The sequence below is a fragment of the Homo sapiens genome, chromosome 17 (assembly GCF_000001405.40).
Source record: "Homo sapiens chromosome 17, GRCh38.p14 Primary Assembly".
Lineage (NCBI taxonomy): Eukaryota > Metazoa > Chordata > Mammalia > Primates > Hominidae > Homo > Homo sapiens.
Window position 1 is genome coordinate 17,895,824 of NC_000017.11, and position 17,377 is coordinate 17,913,200.

Consider the following 17,377-nt stretch of genomic DNA (forward strand, 5'->3'; position numbering starts at 1 on the left):
GAATCATCCCATTTTAGAGATGAGGAAGCTGAGGATCAGAGGTACCATGTAACTTAACCTAGGAGGCCAAAGCTGGGACTCCCCATGCCAGGCAGCTCCGCAGCCAGCCAGAATCGTTCCTTGCCTTGCTGCTGGCTGCACCTTAGGAGGCCCCGGGTTCCTCTGGGCTTGCCAAGGAAGATTCTGGAGGTTAGCACCCTCAGGGCCTCTGAGTGACCACAGGTTTTACTAAGCCAAGGAGGCATTTTCCTTTCTGAGTCTCTGCTTGTGCCTGATTCTGGTAACCGTGAGGTAATTGGCATTCACTCTCTTGTAGTGATCCATGGGGGCACTGAAATGAACCAGAGGGGTTCTTTCTGTTCTCAAGGGCCTTACAGGCACCCTTCTCTCTAGGATTCTCTAAAACCTTCCTCCCAACTCAGGCAGTGGGGTGTTGGGGTCAAGGCAGATGGCAAGAAGTATGCTTTATTTTGTGAGAAGCAGGTGGGAAAGGTGAGGCTGCAATTATGAGTGGGGAAGAGAATTGGAAAAACAGGCATAGGTCTGAGGAGTAGAGCAGCCTGGGGCTCCACTCCACTCTCAGAGCAACAGTGGCAGGAACCACTGCCCGCCATTAGGGAATACATGCTTAGTTTCTCCTGCACAGCAGTCCTCAAGGTCAGTGTGTCCCAGCCTGGTCTTGGAAGTGCCCTGGACAGAGATGCATGTGCCACAGAGCAGCCCCAAAGCCTATCTGAGCAGGAGATCTAGGAGGTCCTCCCTGGGCTGGCAAGAGCCGCTTTAGGCCACCCTGCCAAACAGGACCCTGGCAGTTTTGTCCCTATAGGTTGAAAGGCATGAAACATACAGTGGTAATTTTCCAGAATGAAGCCAAAAGCCATGGAGAAAGTAAACGGGGCCTCTAAGCAATCAGAAGTGATGTTTAAGTCCACAAATGAAGACACAAGCAGAGAGCCCCTCAGGGCTTCTTACTAACTTATTTTGGGTAAATATTAACAATTTTGGTGGGTACAGATATGAAGTCCGGAGAGGGCCACAGGAAACAGGAGGACTGAAAGTGACTAAGAGAGTAAGTGAAGCCCTATCAGCAGACGTGAGACCATGCAAAGCGCGCTAGGATGGGGCCTCAGTGTAGGGACGGCAGCCCTGCGCATTTCACAGGCCTCCCAAAGGCATGGCTGGGTTTGTAGTGAAGACCTAACCCAAGGAAAGGTCAAACAGTGTCCATCATGCCCTGCTAGAGGAAGGCAAGTAAACGCAGAGTTCACTTTAGAAAGATTTCCATCCAACACGATTACCATGAAGTTGGGTGTGTAAATGGAGATGTTTTAGATAGCAGTAAAATTCCCTGATATATTAGAGCTCATTCCCTCGTGATATGAGTTATTGAAAGCCACTCGTTTTGGGCATCACTCCTGGTTTAGTGAATGCTGTGGCTCAAATTCTGAGAAAAAATAAAATAAAAGCTTCAACTCCCTATTTCTCAACCAGTCTTTTCTCCTTTATTATTCAAATCCCAATTCCCTGGCAGAACTCTCTTAATAAGTTTTGGGGTTTCGCTTGGGCAAAAAATCCAAACAGGTTCTCTGCTTTAAAAGGAAACATGGTTGTTTTGGATAAATAACCTACTATTTCAAAGCCCCAGAGAAGTTGACCTGGTGACCTGTTACAGTTTCTATTTTAAGAACTCACTGTGGCCCAGATTTTGCCACATCTGAAAAACTGTTAGTTCTCAAGACAGAAATAACACCTGAAGTCGTCTTTTTAAATTCTCTGACAGCTTTGGTAAGGGCAAAAATCTGGTCTGTTCCTTCCTGAAAAAAATCACTTGGCTGACTTTTTCAAGAGTCTTTGTAGCTATTTTCAGTTTTTACCCCATGCAAAAGACCACTTTATGATGGCAATCCACAGCTCAGTACACCTCACTAGCTGTGAAGGCTGGGTAAACCTCCAGACCTCTCTGAGCCTCAGTTTCATCATCTGTACGGGGGAGGATAGTAAAATCTCTTTTGGAGGGTGGTTGTAAACATATTCATTAATGTCCAAAAAGTTCAGCACAGTCCCAGGCAGGGGCAGGTACTCAATAGGTGGAAGTTAACTTTTTTTTTTTTTTTTTTTTTGAGACGAAGTCTCACTCTGTTGCCCAAGCTGGAGTGCAGTGGTGCGATCTCAGCTCACGGCAACCTCCACCTCCCGGGTTCAAGCAATTCTCCTGCCTCAGCCTCCTGAGTAGCTGGGACTACAGGCACCTGCCACCATGCCTGGCTAATTTTTGTATTTTTAGTAGAGACTGGGTTTCACTATGTTGGCCAGGCTGGTCTTGAACTCCTGACCTTGAGATCCTCCCGCTTCAGCCTCCCAAAGTGCTGGGATTACAGGTGTGAGTCACCGCGCCTGGCCAACATTTTTACAAAGAGGAAACTGATATCTAGAGAAGGAGTTGGTCTCAGTCTCAGAGCAGGCTGGTGACAGAAAAGGGACCCACCCAAAACCTTTAGCTCCTCTGCTCTGGGCTTCTGTACCTGACAGCACTGCACACACCTTATCTTCTGCTCGTATACATTTACCAAATTGAAGCTCACCACTCCCTGTTTCAGAGGACAGGAAAACCCAAAGGCAATACCAGAAGGCTTTGCTGGACTCCAGTGGCCCAGGCACCAAGCCATTCAGAGGTTGTGCTAAGTGGGCAGAGGGAAGGCCCTGTGAGGGGGGCAAGGCCAGGAGCAAGGAGTTCCCCAGATGACTTCTCTCCTCAAGGAGAATAGCACTCACTGTTAATGCCAGCATCACCTCTCTGTAGTTCCGGTTCCCGTTGAGCCGCTTCTTCAGGGCTCGAATGGCATCCTTTGGCCTGGAAAAAAGAACAGACATATAAAGATACTTACAATCCCACTTGAGGACACGATCCTACAGATATGTGAACTAGTATATATGCAAGACTATTTGCTGGCTGCAGCATGTTTGTAAATGTAAAAGACTGGGAACAAACTGAATGTCCATCAATACACAACAGGTTAAATTAAATCATTGACACAATGGAATACTATGCAGCTGCAAAAAAGAATAAAGAAACTCATGCACCAATATACACCAAACTCAAAGACATGTGCATAAAGTTCTTTGCATAACAGTGTACAAAGCTTGCTATTAGTTGAGTTATAGAAGGAAAGCAAACATACATAGCACAGGTGCCAGCGTAGGGAAGAGACTCTCTAGAAAGAGCTATAACAACCTGGTAACTGTGGCTGCCCCTAAGGAAGGGAACCAAAGGCGGAGGGAGGTTTTTCACTGGACTGCCTTTTTGCAGACCTCTTGAATTCTGTATCACATGCAAGTATTATTTATTCAAAACCCTAACTAACCCACTGGTGTGTGGGTACATAGAAGAGAGTTTTTCCAGAGAAACCATATGAGAGACACAGAAGAGAGCGTGCCAGGTCCTTGTGAGCCCTGGATGCCCGGCTCTTCCTGAATTCCATGGAACTCCTTTTCCCAGAGAAAGCTTAAGTGAGTCTCCTTAAAACCCAACAAGTTTTGTGTTTTTAGGTGACAGATCTGAGGTGGATTCCCAGATAAAATCTTGCAGAATTATAGACAGTACTCAGTTCACAAATGGGCTCTGTCCAAAAGTTGGAGTGGAGCTGTTTGGAAGTTGGAGTGAGTTCTTCCTTAATTACTCTTATACCTTAGAGTCAGGATTCCCAGGCAGCCCTCTAAGTATACATATTACATGTAGGTCTTGTGTCTAACATGTAATTTAATTTATTCTAACTCAGGATTCAACAAAGCTGTGGGCCTAGCAGCTGCCCCTGGCACAAAGCCCCTGTGCTGACCTGACCCATCACCCTATGCTCTGGGGAGCCCTCAGTCCGGCTGTGGGCCAGCGCTTTGCAATCACACATGGGTTCCAGCCTTCCACTAATCTATGTGTCAATATACTGGTCTTTCCCAGCTTGCACGTTTGTTAAGTCAGGGATCTCCTATTCCTACAGTTTTAAAACATTTATACTCTACCAAATGAAAAGGCCCCTTCAAATGTGTATGAGGAAGTTGAGGAGGGGAAAGGGTTGATGCTCTGCTAATCAGCTTAATTTAAGAGAAACTGGGCCGGGCATGGTGGCTCACAGTCTGTAATCCCAGCACTTTGGGAGACCAAGGCAGGTGGATAACCTGAGGACAGGAGTTTGAGACCAGCCTGGCCAACATGGTGAAACCCCGTCTTTACTGAAATATACAAAAATTAGCTGGGTGTGGTGGCAGCTGCCTGTAATCCTAGCTGCTCGGGAGGCTGAGGCAGGAGAATCGCTTGAACCTGGGAGACGGAGGTTGCAGTGAGCTGAGATCACGCCATTGTACTCCAGCCTGGGCGACAAGAGTGAAACTTCATCTCCATAAAAATAAAAAAGAGAAAGTGTGTCCAGCATTATGGCTCATTCCTGTAATCCCAGGACTTTGGGAGGCCGAGATGGGTGGATCACTTGAGGTCAGGAGTTCAAGACCAGCCTGGCCAACATGGTGAAACCCTGTCTCTACTAAAAATACAAAAAAATTAGCTGGGCATGGTGATGTGTGCCTGTAGTCCCAGGTACTCTGGAGGCTGAGGCAAGAGAATTGCTTGAACCTGAGATGTGAAGGTTGCAGTGAGCTGAGATTATGCCACTGCACTCCAGCCTGGGTGACAGAGTAAGACTCCATCTCAAAAAAAAAAAAAAAAAAGAGAGAAAGAAAGAAAAAAAGTTTAAGGAGCAAGGCTACTAGAAGAAAATTTTAAAACACCCTGAATCACCTGTTTCCCATTCCCAGCTTGACATATGGCTGCCCTGTAGGAATTCTTGGCCCCTGGGTCAAAGGGCTGATGAGACAGACACAAGGCTCCATGGGGACTGGGCCCAAGGCCAAGTATGTCTGCAGTACGGCTGCCATTTCCAAAAGGGGATGCTGATTTCTGCAAATATGGGACTTAACCGGCTCTCTGCTTTGAAGGCTGTTTGTGGCATGAGAGCTGATGAAATTCAGTGGCTACTGGCCAACAGCATGGACTGATTTCCTCTCTCCAAGGCTCTGCCAAACCACTGCTGTCCCTGACCCACAGCTGCCACACCCCTCAGTCCTCTCTTCTGTCCTCTTGAACTTCCATGGAACAGGAAAATAGGAAGAGCGCCTGAGGGCTGCAATCATTTCTGGCTGGCAGAGGACCAGCACACTCAGGGCTCTCCTGGTGTGGGGGCCACGGGGTGGGAAATCAGACAGTCAGCAGCTTCCTGGATGAGGTTTAAAATGAAAATTCATCCATAGGCTCTGGGAAGTACTGGCCGAGAGTGATGGGTGAGCACAAAAGCAAGTATTTATCTCTCTCCCCGGGGGAAAAGCTTCAGAGAGGAGGATCAAAGTCATGTCAAAGGAAACACAAAGTTTCAAGAAGCTGCAGCAGATTAGATAGTGTGGAGTTGGAAACCAGGAGAAGAGACAGAAGCATGTGTCAAGAGCCAAGATGGAGCAGAAAGAAAGGATCAGGAAGAATCAGTGGCCTGTGTTGAGATGGCATCAAGCCCTAGCAGCTTTCAGGGGAAAGGTCAGGCTCCTCAGGCAGTGCTCACAGCCTCGTGATTTGGCCTCTGGGCCATGATCAGGCTCCTCAAAGTCTCCCTGGACCCTAGACTTATAAGAACTCTTCCCTGATCCCCAAACAAGCCTCCTGTCATCCCTCCAGCCACAGCCTTTGTATCTTTGTCCTTCAGCTTCAGGACTACTCTCTGGAAAAGCTTTCTCCTCATCACCCCCAAGGAGGACATGGCTGCCCCTCTTCTGTCACCCTGAACATGCCCTCCCCATTATTATCTTGCTCTATTGCATGTCTTCAGTTCCTCCTCTGTGCCCTCTCCAGCTTAGAAGATAGAACACAAAGATTCTATGAGCTGAGGAGGGTCCAGAGATGGCCATGTAAATGACCCAGGTCAGGGGTTCCTCATGAGAGCTGCACATCAGAGTCACCTGTAGTGCCATTCCCAAATCCACAAGCTGTGCCTTGATTGTGTAGGTCTGAGGTGAGGCCTGGAAAACAGAGTCTAAAACAGTCCCAGCTGGGTGCTCTGGCTCACGCCTGTAATCCCAGCACTTTAGAAGCCCAAGGCAGGTGGGAGGTCAGGAGTTCAAGACCAGCCTGGCCAACATGGTGAAACCCTGTCTCTACTAAAAATACAAAATTAGCCGGGCGTGGTGGTACACACCTATAATCCCAGCTACTCAGGAGGCTGAGGCAGGAGAATTGCTTGAGCCTGGGAGGCGGTGGTTGTGGTGAGCTGAGATCACACCATTGCACTCCAGCCTGGGCGACAAGAGCAAAACTCCACCTCAAAAATAAATAAATAAATAAAAACAGTCCCAGGTAGGTTATTCAGTCAGCCACTCCTGGTTAATGCCTGAAGGACTGTCATCAAGGCCTTAGGCATCAGCATTCCTCAGGCTGATGGTGACCTCAGCTCTGGACATTAGGGAAAGCCCAAGGAGAGGCCTTTCGGGCAGTTTACCAATCTGCACCCACCAGGACCACAGCCTCCCATTGGTAAAGTATTGCACAAATACAAGAAGTGCAGGCAGCACTTCAGTGGCTGCGGCCAGGTGAGCCTGTGCTTGCATCCTGCATGTGCCCTTCCAAGCTGTGCTGCAAGGCCTTTGGCAAGTGACCAAACTACTCAGCCTCAGTTTCCTTAACACTGAAACAGGCTGTCACTACCATATAGAACTGTTGGGGGTAGGGGGCGCTGCTTGTGATGATGCACTGCAGGGCTGGACACAGGGCCTGCAGGGCGTGGCACATGCCAAGTGCTCACAGACAGCAGACAGGGTAAGGGCAGTGAATCCACCAAGATAGTCACCAAGACTGGGCAGATAACTGACACCCAAATGAAAGTGATGACAAAAGTCATGGGCAATGGAAATCTTTAAAGTGAAATAGTACATCCACATAGATATAGTATGGATATGAAGATACAGTTATGTAGCCAGATACATCATATATATTTACTCCTTTAATCCTTGTAACAACCCTATGAGATAGGTATTATTGGCAACCCCATTTTATAAGTGAGGAAATGGGACACAGACACAGGGAGATGAAGTAACTCACACAGGCTCGCACAATAAGCGAGTGGTGACCTAGAATTGCTCCAGCCTGTGGTGTCCACCTTCCTCCCCTTCATCCACCTGCCTCATCTGGCTGATACCCTGGCACTCTGTAAGACTCCAGTCTGGTGTCACTTCCTCCAAGAAGGCTTTGCTGCCAAAAGTCCCAAGGCTGACCACTGCCACTGCACTAGTCTCCGTAGCTATATATAGCTTCTCTCTCTCTCCCTGCCCCCCACCCAGCACTCGTTATGCATATGTTTATATGCCTGCATTCCTCATCAGACTGTGAGTACCTTAGAGACTTCATTCATTTATTCACTTATTTAACAAATATTTATTAACAGCTAATCAAATGCATTGTGCTAGGTGCTAGGGACAAAATGTTGAGTAATTGGCTGGGCGCGGTGGCTCACGCCTGTAATCCCAGCACTTTGGGAGGCTGAGGCGGGCGGATCACGAGGTAAGGGGATCGAGACCATGGTGAAACTCCGTCTCTACTAAAAATACAAAAAAAATTAGCTGGGCGTGGTGGCGGGCGCCTGTAGTCCCAGCTACTCAGGAGGCTGAGGCAGGAGAATGGCATGAACCCGGGAGGCGGAGCTTGCAGTGAGCCGAGATCGCGCCACTGCACTCCAGCCTGGGCGACAGAGCGAGACTCCATCTCAAAAAAAAAAAAAAAAAATGTTGGGTAAAACAGATGGAAATCCTGTCCTCATGGAGATCACAGCCTTGCGGGGGTTGCAGGGCAAGACAGACACTAACAACCGTCCCACAGATCTGTAAGTTTAAACTGTGATGAGCATCAGTACAACACGGGTTATGAAATCATATAACAGAGGACTTGTCCAAATCAGGAGGGGAAGGGGTTAGGGAAATGAGATTCAAACTGAGAGATCCAGTGAATGACGGGATCTACTTAGTGAAAGAGGTGACGAGAACAGAAGGGACAGCAGGTCAGAGGCCTTCAGGGAGGGCACAAAGGGGTGGGTGGGGTGCCCTACTGTCAGTCCAACTTGTGGGAGTTTCTTTCACTCAGGAAGAGATTATTATTATTATTATTATTTTTAAGATATGGGGTCTCACTACATTTCCTAGGCTGGTCTCAAACACCTAGGCTCAAGCAATCCTCCTGCCTCAGCCTTCTGAATAGGTGGGACTACAGGCATGAGCCACTGCACCTTGCTAGGAAGAGATTTTGAGACACCTCACAGCAGAGGCAACAAGAAAACATTCTCAGGAATCACTGAGGTGCTCTCACTCAAAAAGGTAGCAACAGGAGCTTTAGCCACTTGAAGAGAAAGATGTGTGTGACCAGCCTTCTGGGAATTGAGGATTTGAAAAAGAAGGCATTGGCCCCTTCAGAATAAGGAAGCTCCTGGGGTTCCTGGGCTTCCTGCCCTCAAGCCATAGAGATATTTGAGCAATTCACTGGAAAATAAGAGTTGCCAACATATTTGTATATTGCTCAAATCTGTAGAGAATTTCAAGCTGGGCCCAGGAATATGGAAAATTCAAGGAGCTGAAAGATCAGCAGGGTTGAAGAGCTCAAAGTGGAGCTGCCGAGGGGTCTGGGGCTCCTCATGAGGGGCCTGGTTGGGGTTTTTAACCTAAGTGCCTGCGAAACCCCTGAAGGCTTGTTAGCAAGGGAGCAACTTGGTCGTTGTGCAGCAGGAAGGGGTAGGAGGGAAGGGGTCGAAGCAGAGGTCCACCTCTAGGGTAAAGTGCAGACACCAGAGAATGCAGCACCTGACCTTGACTACCTTTCCAGCCGGATTCCAGACCCTCCCGCTCCCCCAATGTCACCCTGTCTATCCTAGACAGCTTGTATCCCTTGACACACTGGCCCTTTTGATGCCACCCTTGGCTACGGGACACATTTCTCCTGCCATCCTGGAAGACAGCCCCTCCAGGAAGCATTGATACCCACCTTTCCCTCTGGGACCATGGCATCAGGGACAGGCCTTGGCCACAGCCCTTGCCAGTCCTGCCAGGTGAGCGTTCAAGGGCAGGCTGGAACATTCACCTTGGCATCCCGTAGCTGCTATACCTCCACCCCTGGGGGTCAGTAAACATGGCCAGATGACTGGACAAACAAGTGAATGAGTGGCATGTTAGGAGGACGTGAGGAAGGTAGCCACTCGGAGCCCAGTGACGATGGGATTAGAGATGTGTAGTCCCTAACAACTATTTGTGAGTCACGTCTGTGTACCAGGCACCAAGCTGATCACCTATATTTAGCTGGTGAAAATATGCCACCTTTCACCAAAGACTCCCACGTTTTCATCCAGTGCAGGCCACTGCCCCCAACTCAAGTTCCCTGTGCAGTTCCCTGTCACATCTTCCAGGAGCCTGGCTGGCAGCAAAGATCTACTGCTGATCTCTGCTCCCCAGCCTGCTCCACCTCAGGAAACAGCAGCTCCATCCCATGGTTGTTCAGGCCCCAAACCTTGCAATTTCCCTTAACTCTTCATTCCTGTCTTATGTCAGCCAATTCCATTGGCTCTACCATCTAACACATTCAGAATCCCATCACTTCTAATCATCATCTCACACCAGTATTACTGTGATAACCTCCTCACTGGGTTTTCTTTCTTCTTTTTTCTTTTTAGAGACAGGGTCTTACTCTGTCGCCCAGGCTAGAATGCAGTGACACCGTCCTGGTTCATCACAGCCTCGAACTCCTAGGCGTAAGCAATCTTCCTGCCTCAGCCTCGTACAGTGCTGGGATTGCAGGTGCACGCCACTATGCCAGGCCATCGCTGGGTTTTCTGCATTGTCCTTGGCCTGCCCCCAGTCAGGCCACTCTGAACACAGTAGACTGAGTGATCTCTTTCCAATAAGAGTGGGACCACACCACTCCTCTGCTTGAATCTCCAAAAAGGTTGAAGCCAGAGTTGCTCTGGTTCTACATGGCCCTGTGTTATCTGGGTCCCCAGTATGTCGGTAACTTCCTCTCCAGGTACTCTCTTCTTTGACCACTCTGCTCCGGGCCCATTAGCCACCTTGCTATTCCTCAAACACATCAGACACCCTCTGTCCCAGGACTTCTGGGTTTGCTGTTCCATGAGCCTTGACAGTTCTTCCCTTGTATAATCCTCACCCCCTACTCCCTCATCTCCTTCAAGTCTTTGTTCAATGTCACCTTCTAAATGAGACTTTTCTGTTGTTTTGTCTTCTCTTTTCATTTTTTTTTTTTTTGAGACAGGGTTTTTCTCTGTCACCAAAACTGGAGTACAGTGGCATGCTCATGGCTCACTGCAGCCTCGACCTCCTGGGCTCAAGTGATCCTCCCACCTCAGCCTCCCAAGTAGTTGGGACTACAGGTGTGCACCACCACGCCTGGCTAACTTTTGTATTTTTTGTAAAGACAAGATTCAACCGTGTTGCCCAGGCTGGTCTCGAATTCCTGGGCTCAAGCAACTGGCCCACCTTGGCCTCCCAAGGTGCTAGGATTACAGATGTGACCCACCGAGCCCAGCCAAGACTTTTCTTGATCACTCTATTTAACATTGCTAATTCCCAGCCTCCTCTCTCCCCATCTCCCTTCCACAGTCTTGTCCTCATCTGACCAGGTTATATGTTTAATTATCTTGTTTATGGCCTGCCTCCCTACTACTCTAGACTGGCCGCTCCCCAAGGGGAAGGAATCTATCTTGTTCACTGCTGTGTCCTCAGTATTTACAATAGGGCCTGGCACAAGGTAGTCATTCGAGAAATATTTGTTGCATGAAAGCAGGACCAAGCTTGAGAGGCTGGTCCCCAGTTCACACATGGCAAGGCTAGAGTGACAGTGCTGAGATGCCAGCCCAGGGATGCCTGAGTCCCAGCTGCTCTCCTTGCCACTCCTGAAAATGGTTTAAGAGGGCATGGCTACAGTAAAGTAAGTGTTAGTGGTATGGACAGAGGGCTAAATACAGACCAGTTTGGAAGAAGTACAAATAGAGTGCAGCTGTAAAACAAAAGAGGATTCAGGAAATAACAACAGGAACGGATCCAGCAGTGCAGGAATGCAGGAGGGGCAACGTGTTCTAAGTCCACTCATGCCGCTTTCCCACTCCCGGCCGTGTCTGCCCCATGCCCTGGACCTCCCTCCATGGACACGGTGGTGCTCTCTGACTCCTGGCAAACCAGGGCAGAGACAGGCTGTGAAGGAGAGGCAGAGGCCAGGGAGGAGGGGAGGGACGAGGTGACACTTGGGCTGCAGAGACTAATGGCCACTGGGAACCAAGTAATCAAGCAGCTTCATTTCCACTTGTGATTAAAAGCAGGTGATTAAAGGAGGTCATCCCTGTTCTACCTCCAAGCACTGCCATTGGGCAAGTGGGGGAGGGATGAAGACAAAAAGGACAGATAATTCAGAGTGTCAGCTTATTCGATGCCAAACCAAACATACTAGGAACAAAACAAAAAATAAAACCTGCCACCCTTAGGCCCTGACAAGCTTTGAGTGGCCCCTAAAAGCTCAGAGAGGCTTCCCAGGAGAGGGGGGCACACGTACCCTTCCTCCGTCTCATTGATGATGTCACAGATCTCCATATTCAACGTCCAATCCTCACTTTGCAGGGAGCCATCTGTTGCCTTTTCTGTGAAATCAGAGAGAAAATGGGTTTACATTTCTCCTGGAATAAGTGGGCCTTGGCAGGAAATGGGAAGAGACCAGAACCACCACATTCTTCTCCCAAGCAGATGGGCTGAGCCAACAGAGCCATTCTAGGAGTGCTATTATCACAAGAGAACACCCGGGAAAGGTCCTGGCCTGAGGGCTGATGTTATAACGAGGTTCTTCATTCACCAAACTCTAGACTGAAAAGCTTATGACAGGCCTAAGCCATCAAAAATCACCCCAAACATGAGGATATTAGGTTTATGAACCCGTAGAGTCTGGAGCCAAACTACCTAGGTTCAAATACAGGCTCCACTACTTACTAGTTGTGTGGTCTTGGGTAAATTACTTAACTTCTAGGTGCCAAAGCTAGTGAAAACAACAGCACTTACCTGATATATTTGTTATGAAAATTAAATGGGTTGATATACATGAAACACTTAGAACAGAGCCTAGCACACAGTCAGTACTATACAGGTATTTGCTATTGGGATTATTAAAAATCAATTGCAGTAGTTAAAAACTACATTTCAGATAAGGGGGAGAAAGAAAGGACCATTGGTTATCAAGCCACTGTAGGTGTGGTGTTGGGTGTTTCACGTACATTATTTTATCTCATCCACAAAATGACTTTCTGACCACTCAATGAGGAAAGGACAGTATTTTCAACAAATGGTGCTGTGAAAATTGGATTGCCACATGCAAAAGAATGAACTTGGACCCTTTATCTTACACCATATACAAAAATTTACTCCAAATGGATCAAAGACATAAATGTAAGAGCTCAAACTAAAAAACTCTTAGAAGAAAACATAGTGAAAAAACTTCATGACACTAGATTTGGCAATCATCTCATGGATATGACACCAAAAGCACAGGCAACAAAAGAAAAATTTTGAACTACATCAAAATAAAAACTTCCAGGCATCAAAGGACACAACACAGTGAACCTGCAGAGGAAGAAAATATTTGCAAAATTATATATATGATAAGGGGTTAATATCCAGACTACGTAAAGAACTCCTATAGCTTAATAACAAAAAAACCCAAACTATCCAATTAAAAAATGGGAAAGGACTTCAATAGACATTTCTCCAAAGAAGATATATAAATGACTAACAAGTATGTGAAAAGAGGTTCAACATCACTAAGCATTAGGGAAGTGCAAGTCAAAAACACAATGAAATATCACCTCACACCCATTAGGATGGCTACTATCAAAAAAATAGAAAATAACAAGTGTTGGCAAGGATATAGACAAATTGGAACCCCTTTACACTTTTGATGGAAATGTAAAATGATATAGCTGCTATGGAAAACAGGACGGTAGTTAAAACACAGAATTACCCAGCCAGGCGCGGTGGCTCACGTCTGTAATCCCAGCACTTTGGGAGGCCAAGGAGGATGGATCACCAGGTCAGGAGATCGAGACCATCTGGCTAACATGGTGAAACCCCGTCTCTACTAAAAATACAAAAAATTAGCCAGGTGTGGTGGTGGGCACCTGTCGTTCCAGCTACTCAGGAGGCTGAGGCAGGAGAATGGCGTAAACCCAGGAGGCGGAGCTTGCAGTGAGCCAAGTTCATGTCACTGCATTCCAACCCGGGCGACAGAGCCAGACTCCGTCTCAAAAACAAAAACAAACAAACAAACAAAAAACATAGCATTACCCTATGATCTAGCAATTTTACTTCTGAGTATATACCCAAAAGAACTGAAAGCAGGGCCTTGAGGAGATATTTGCAGAGTCATGTTCATAGCAGCAATAGTCACAAGAGCCAAAAGGTGTAAACAGCCTGTGTCCATCAATTAAAGAATGGATAAGCCAAATGGATATACATATAATGGATTATTATTCAGCCTTAAAAAGGAAGGAAATCCTATTGCATGCACAATATGGCTGAACCTTGAGGGCCTTGTGCTAAGTGAAATAAGCCTTTCACCAAGACAAATACTAGATGATTCTACTTACAATCAGGTACCTAGAATAGTCAAATTTAAAGACAGAAAGTAGAATGGTGGTTGCCAGAGGCTGCTGGGGGGTGTGGGGGTGGGGGAATGGGGAGTTATTGTTTAATGAACACAGAATTTCAGTTTGGGGAAAATGAAAGAGTTCTGGAGATGGTTGTTGATGGTTGCACACAATGTGAACATACTTAATGCCACTGAACTGTATACTTTAAAATGGTTAAAATGGGCCAGGCAAAATGGCTCACACCTGTAATCTCAGAACTTTGGGAGGCTGAGGCAGGAGGGTTACTTGAATCCAGGATTTGACAACAGCTTGGGCAACATAGCAAGACATTGTTTCTACAAAAAATTTAAAAATTAGCTGGGCATAGTGGCTTGTGCCTGTGGTCCTAACTACTAATGAGGCTGAGGCAGGAAGATTGCTTAAGTCCAGGAGTTTGAGGCTGCAGTGAGATATGATTGAGCCACTGCATTCCAGCCTAGGCAACAGAGTAAGACCCTGTCTCTTAAAAAACTTTTTGTTGAATGGTTAAAATGATAAATTTAATGTTATGTGTATTTTAAAAACCACCACCAAAAAAGACAGAAAAATTATACATAGGTCAATGGACTGCTGGGTCAGGGAGTAGCAGGGTGGGGATCAGAGATCATTTGGGTCTGTAGCCTCCTTTGACGGGAAACCCGGGGCCCGCAGAAGAAAAGGGAAAGGTCCAGGAGCTCAGGATCGTCAGTGGCAGAGCCAGGACTACAGCCAGGGTCACTTGACTCCCTTCCCCCTCTGGGATGTGAGCTCTGTGAGGGCAGGGACTAGGTCTGTCTTGCCTTCCACTGGGTCCCCAGTGCCCAGCACTTGGCAGTAGTGCAATGCATTTACATCAGATGAATGACTGCATTAGCAACCCTTCCTCTAAGTTATGGATCTCAGCCCTGGCTGTACACGAGAACCACCTGGGGAGCTTCTAGAGAGCACCAATACCTGAGCCTCATGCCCCAGAGGTTCTACTTTGAATGGTATGGGGTGGGATTCAGTGATTATTACTATTATTATTATTATTATTTTTATGTGAGACAGAGTCTCACTCCATTGTGCAGGCTGGAGCGCAATGGTGTGATCTCGGCTCACTGCAACCTTTACCTCCTGGGTTCAAGCAATTCTCCTGTCTCAGCCTCCCGAGTAGCTGGGATTACAGGCACGTGCCACCATGCCTGGCTAATTTTTGTATTTGTAGTAGAGATGGGTTTCGGCACGTTGGCCAGACTGGTCTCGAACTCCTGACCTCAGGTGCTCCACCCACCTCAGCCTCCCAAAGTGCTGGGATTACAGGCGTGAGCCACTGTGCCCAGCCCCAACACTCTTGATGGTTGGGGAGGTAGATCATTTGGCTGTTTTCTTCTCCATTCTCACCAAAAGGATGTTGCTGAATGCAAAATGCTAAAACCAGTCCTCTTTTGCCTTCTGGTGTTGGCTGCTTCTGAAGTCACTATATTTAACATCAAAGTGTAGAAAGCGGCAGCCAAAAAGCCAAGCCGCTGGATTGCGAGGCTCCTCCAAACAGGGCTGCCTTAGGTTTCAGAGAACATAGGAGGGTGGGTGGGCAGAAAAACCATGCTCAGAGCCAGCACTATCACTGCTGTCAGCGTCAAGGCTTCAGGGCATCCTGGCCTGGGTCCTACCCCAGGCGAGAGAAAATGCCATGGCAACGGCATCAGGATGCTATGCTGCTCTTGCACTGAAGATTTAATGGGAGCCGTATCTGATTACCCGAGCTCAGGCCTGCCCTGCCCTGTCCAGTCCAGCCCAGCCTGGCCTACCCTACCCAGCCTCTTCCCCAGCCCAGTCCTTGGCCATTAGCATATCACCAGAGAGGTCAGCACTTTACAATTATCCGTCCAGAGGGCTGGCTGGTGGGAAGGACTTGCCCCACTGTTCCCTAGAACACTTGTGTTTCTGCTGTTGCACCAGGTTTTATTTTAGGTTTTGACGATTTAGGTGACAAAATAAATGAGACTGAACTTTGCTTTCCTCTGGCCTGGGGACAGGACTGAGTGAGGGAGCCCACATTGAGTGGCCTTAGTTCCAGAGGCAATCAGATCCAACTTTGCTCTTGATTAGCTGGAAATTCTTTTTTTTTTTTAATTTTTTTATTTTTTATTGATCATTCTTGGGTGTTTCTCACAGAGGGGGATTTGGCAGGGTCATAGGACAATAGTGGAGGGAAGGTCAGCAGATAAACAAGTGAACAAAGGTCTCTGGTTTTCCTAGGCAGAGGACCCTGCGGCCTTCCGCAGTGTTTGTGTCCCTGGGTACTTGAGATTAGGGAGTGGTGACGACTCTTAACGAGCATGCTGCCTTCAAGCATCTGTTTAACAAAGCACATCTTGCACCGCCCTTAATCCATTTAACCCTGAGTGGACACAGCACATGTTTCAGAGAGCACAGGGTTGGGGGTAAGGTCACAGATCAACAGGATCCCAAGGCAGAAGAATTTTTCTTAGTACAGAACAAAATGAAAAGTCTCCCATGTCTACTTCTTTCTACACAGACACGGCAACCATCCGATTTCTCAATCTTTTCCCCACCTTTCCCGCCTTTCTATTCCACAAAACCGCCACTGTCATCATGGCCGGTTCTCAATGAGCCGCTGGGCACACCTCCCAGACGGGGTGGTGGCCGGGCAGAGGGGCTCCTCACTTCCCAGTAGGGGCGGCTGGGCAGAGGCGCCCCTCACCTCCCGGACGGGGCGGCTGGCCGGGCGGGGGGCTGACCCCCCCACCTCCCTCCCGGACGGGGTGGCTGCCGGGCGGAGACGCTCCTCACTTCCCAGACGGGGTGGCTGCCGGGCGGAGAGGCTCCTCACTTCTCAGACGGGGCGGCTGCTGGGCAGAGGGGCTCCTCACTTCTCAGACGGGGCGGTTGCCAGGCAGAGGGTCTCCTCACTTCTCAGACGGGGTGGCCGGGCAGAGACACTCCTCACCTCCCAGACGGGGTCACGGCCTGGCAGAGGCGCTCCTCACATCCCAGACGGGGCGGCGGGGCAGAGGCGCTCCCCACATCTCAGACGATGGGCGGCCGGGCAGAGACGCTCTTCACTTCCTAGATGGGATGGCGGCCGGGAAGAGGCGCTCCTCACTTCCTAGGTGGGATGGCGGCCGGACGGAGACGCTCCTCACTTCCCAGACTGGGCAGCCAGGCAGAGGGGCTCCTCACATCCCAGACGATGGGCGGCCAGGCAGAGACGCTCCTCACTTCCCAGACGGGGTGGCGGCCGGGCAGAGGCTGCAATCTCGGCACTTTGGGAGGCCAAGGCAGGCGGCTGGGAGTTGGAGGTTGTAGCGAGCCGAGATCATGCCACTGCACTCCAGCCGGGGCACCACTGAGCACTGAGTGAACGAGACTCCGTCTGCAATCCCGGCACCTCGGGAGGCCGAGGCTGGCGGATCGCTCGCGGTTAGGAGCTGGAGACCGGCCAGGCCAACACAGCGAAACCCCGTCTCCACCAAAAAAAATACGAAAACCAGTCAGGCGTGGCAGCGGGTGCCTGCAATCGCAGGCACTCGGCAGGCTGAGGCAGGAGAATCAGGCAGGGAGGTTGCAGTGAGCCGAGATGGCAGCAGTACAGTCCAGCTTCGGCTCGGCATGAGAGGGAGACCGTGGAAACAGAGGGAGAGGGAGACCGT

General features: G+C 48.8%; 1 protein-coding gene across 17 annotated transcripts in view, besides 1 other annotated feature; it reads right to left on the reverse strand.

The window, feature by feature from the left end:
* TOM1L2 (target of myb1 like 2 membrane trafficking protein) overlaps positions 1 to 17,377 on the reverse strand; it is a 128,890-nt gene that overhangs the window by 52,313 nt on the left and 59,200 nt on the right. For all 17 annotated transcript variants that reach the window (NM_001288789.2, XM_047435389.1, XM_047435386.1 and 14 more), the window contains exons 2-3: positions 11,624 to 11,708; positions 2,773 to 2,851 (exon numbers count right to left, since the gene is read on the reverse strand). In NM_001288789.2, the coding sequence (NP_001275718.1) occupies positions 2,773 to 2,851; positions 11,624 to 11,708 (164 nt within the window). The remainder of the gene's footprint in view (positions 1 to 2,772; positions 2,852 to 11,623; positions 11,709 to 17,377) is intronic.
* Positions 1,931 to 1,980: an enhancer, noted in NCBI's record as "active region_11817". NCBI's record gives its function as "activates an Ori minimal core promoter by ATAC-STARR-seq in GM12878 lymphoblastoid cells {active_cell/tissue: GM12878}" and the evidence as "EXISTENCE:reporter gene assay evidence [ECO:0000049][PMID:35858748]".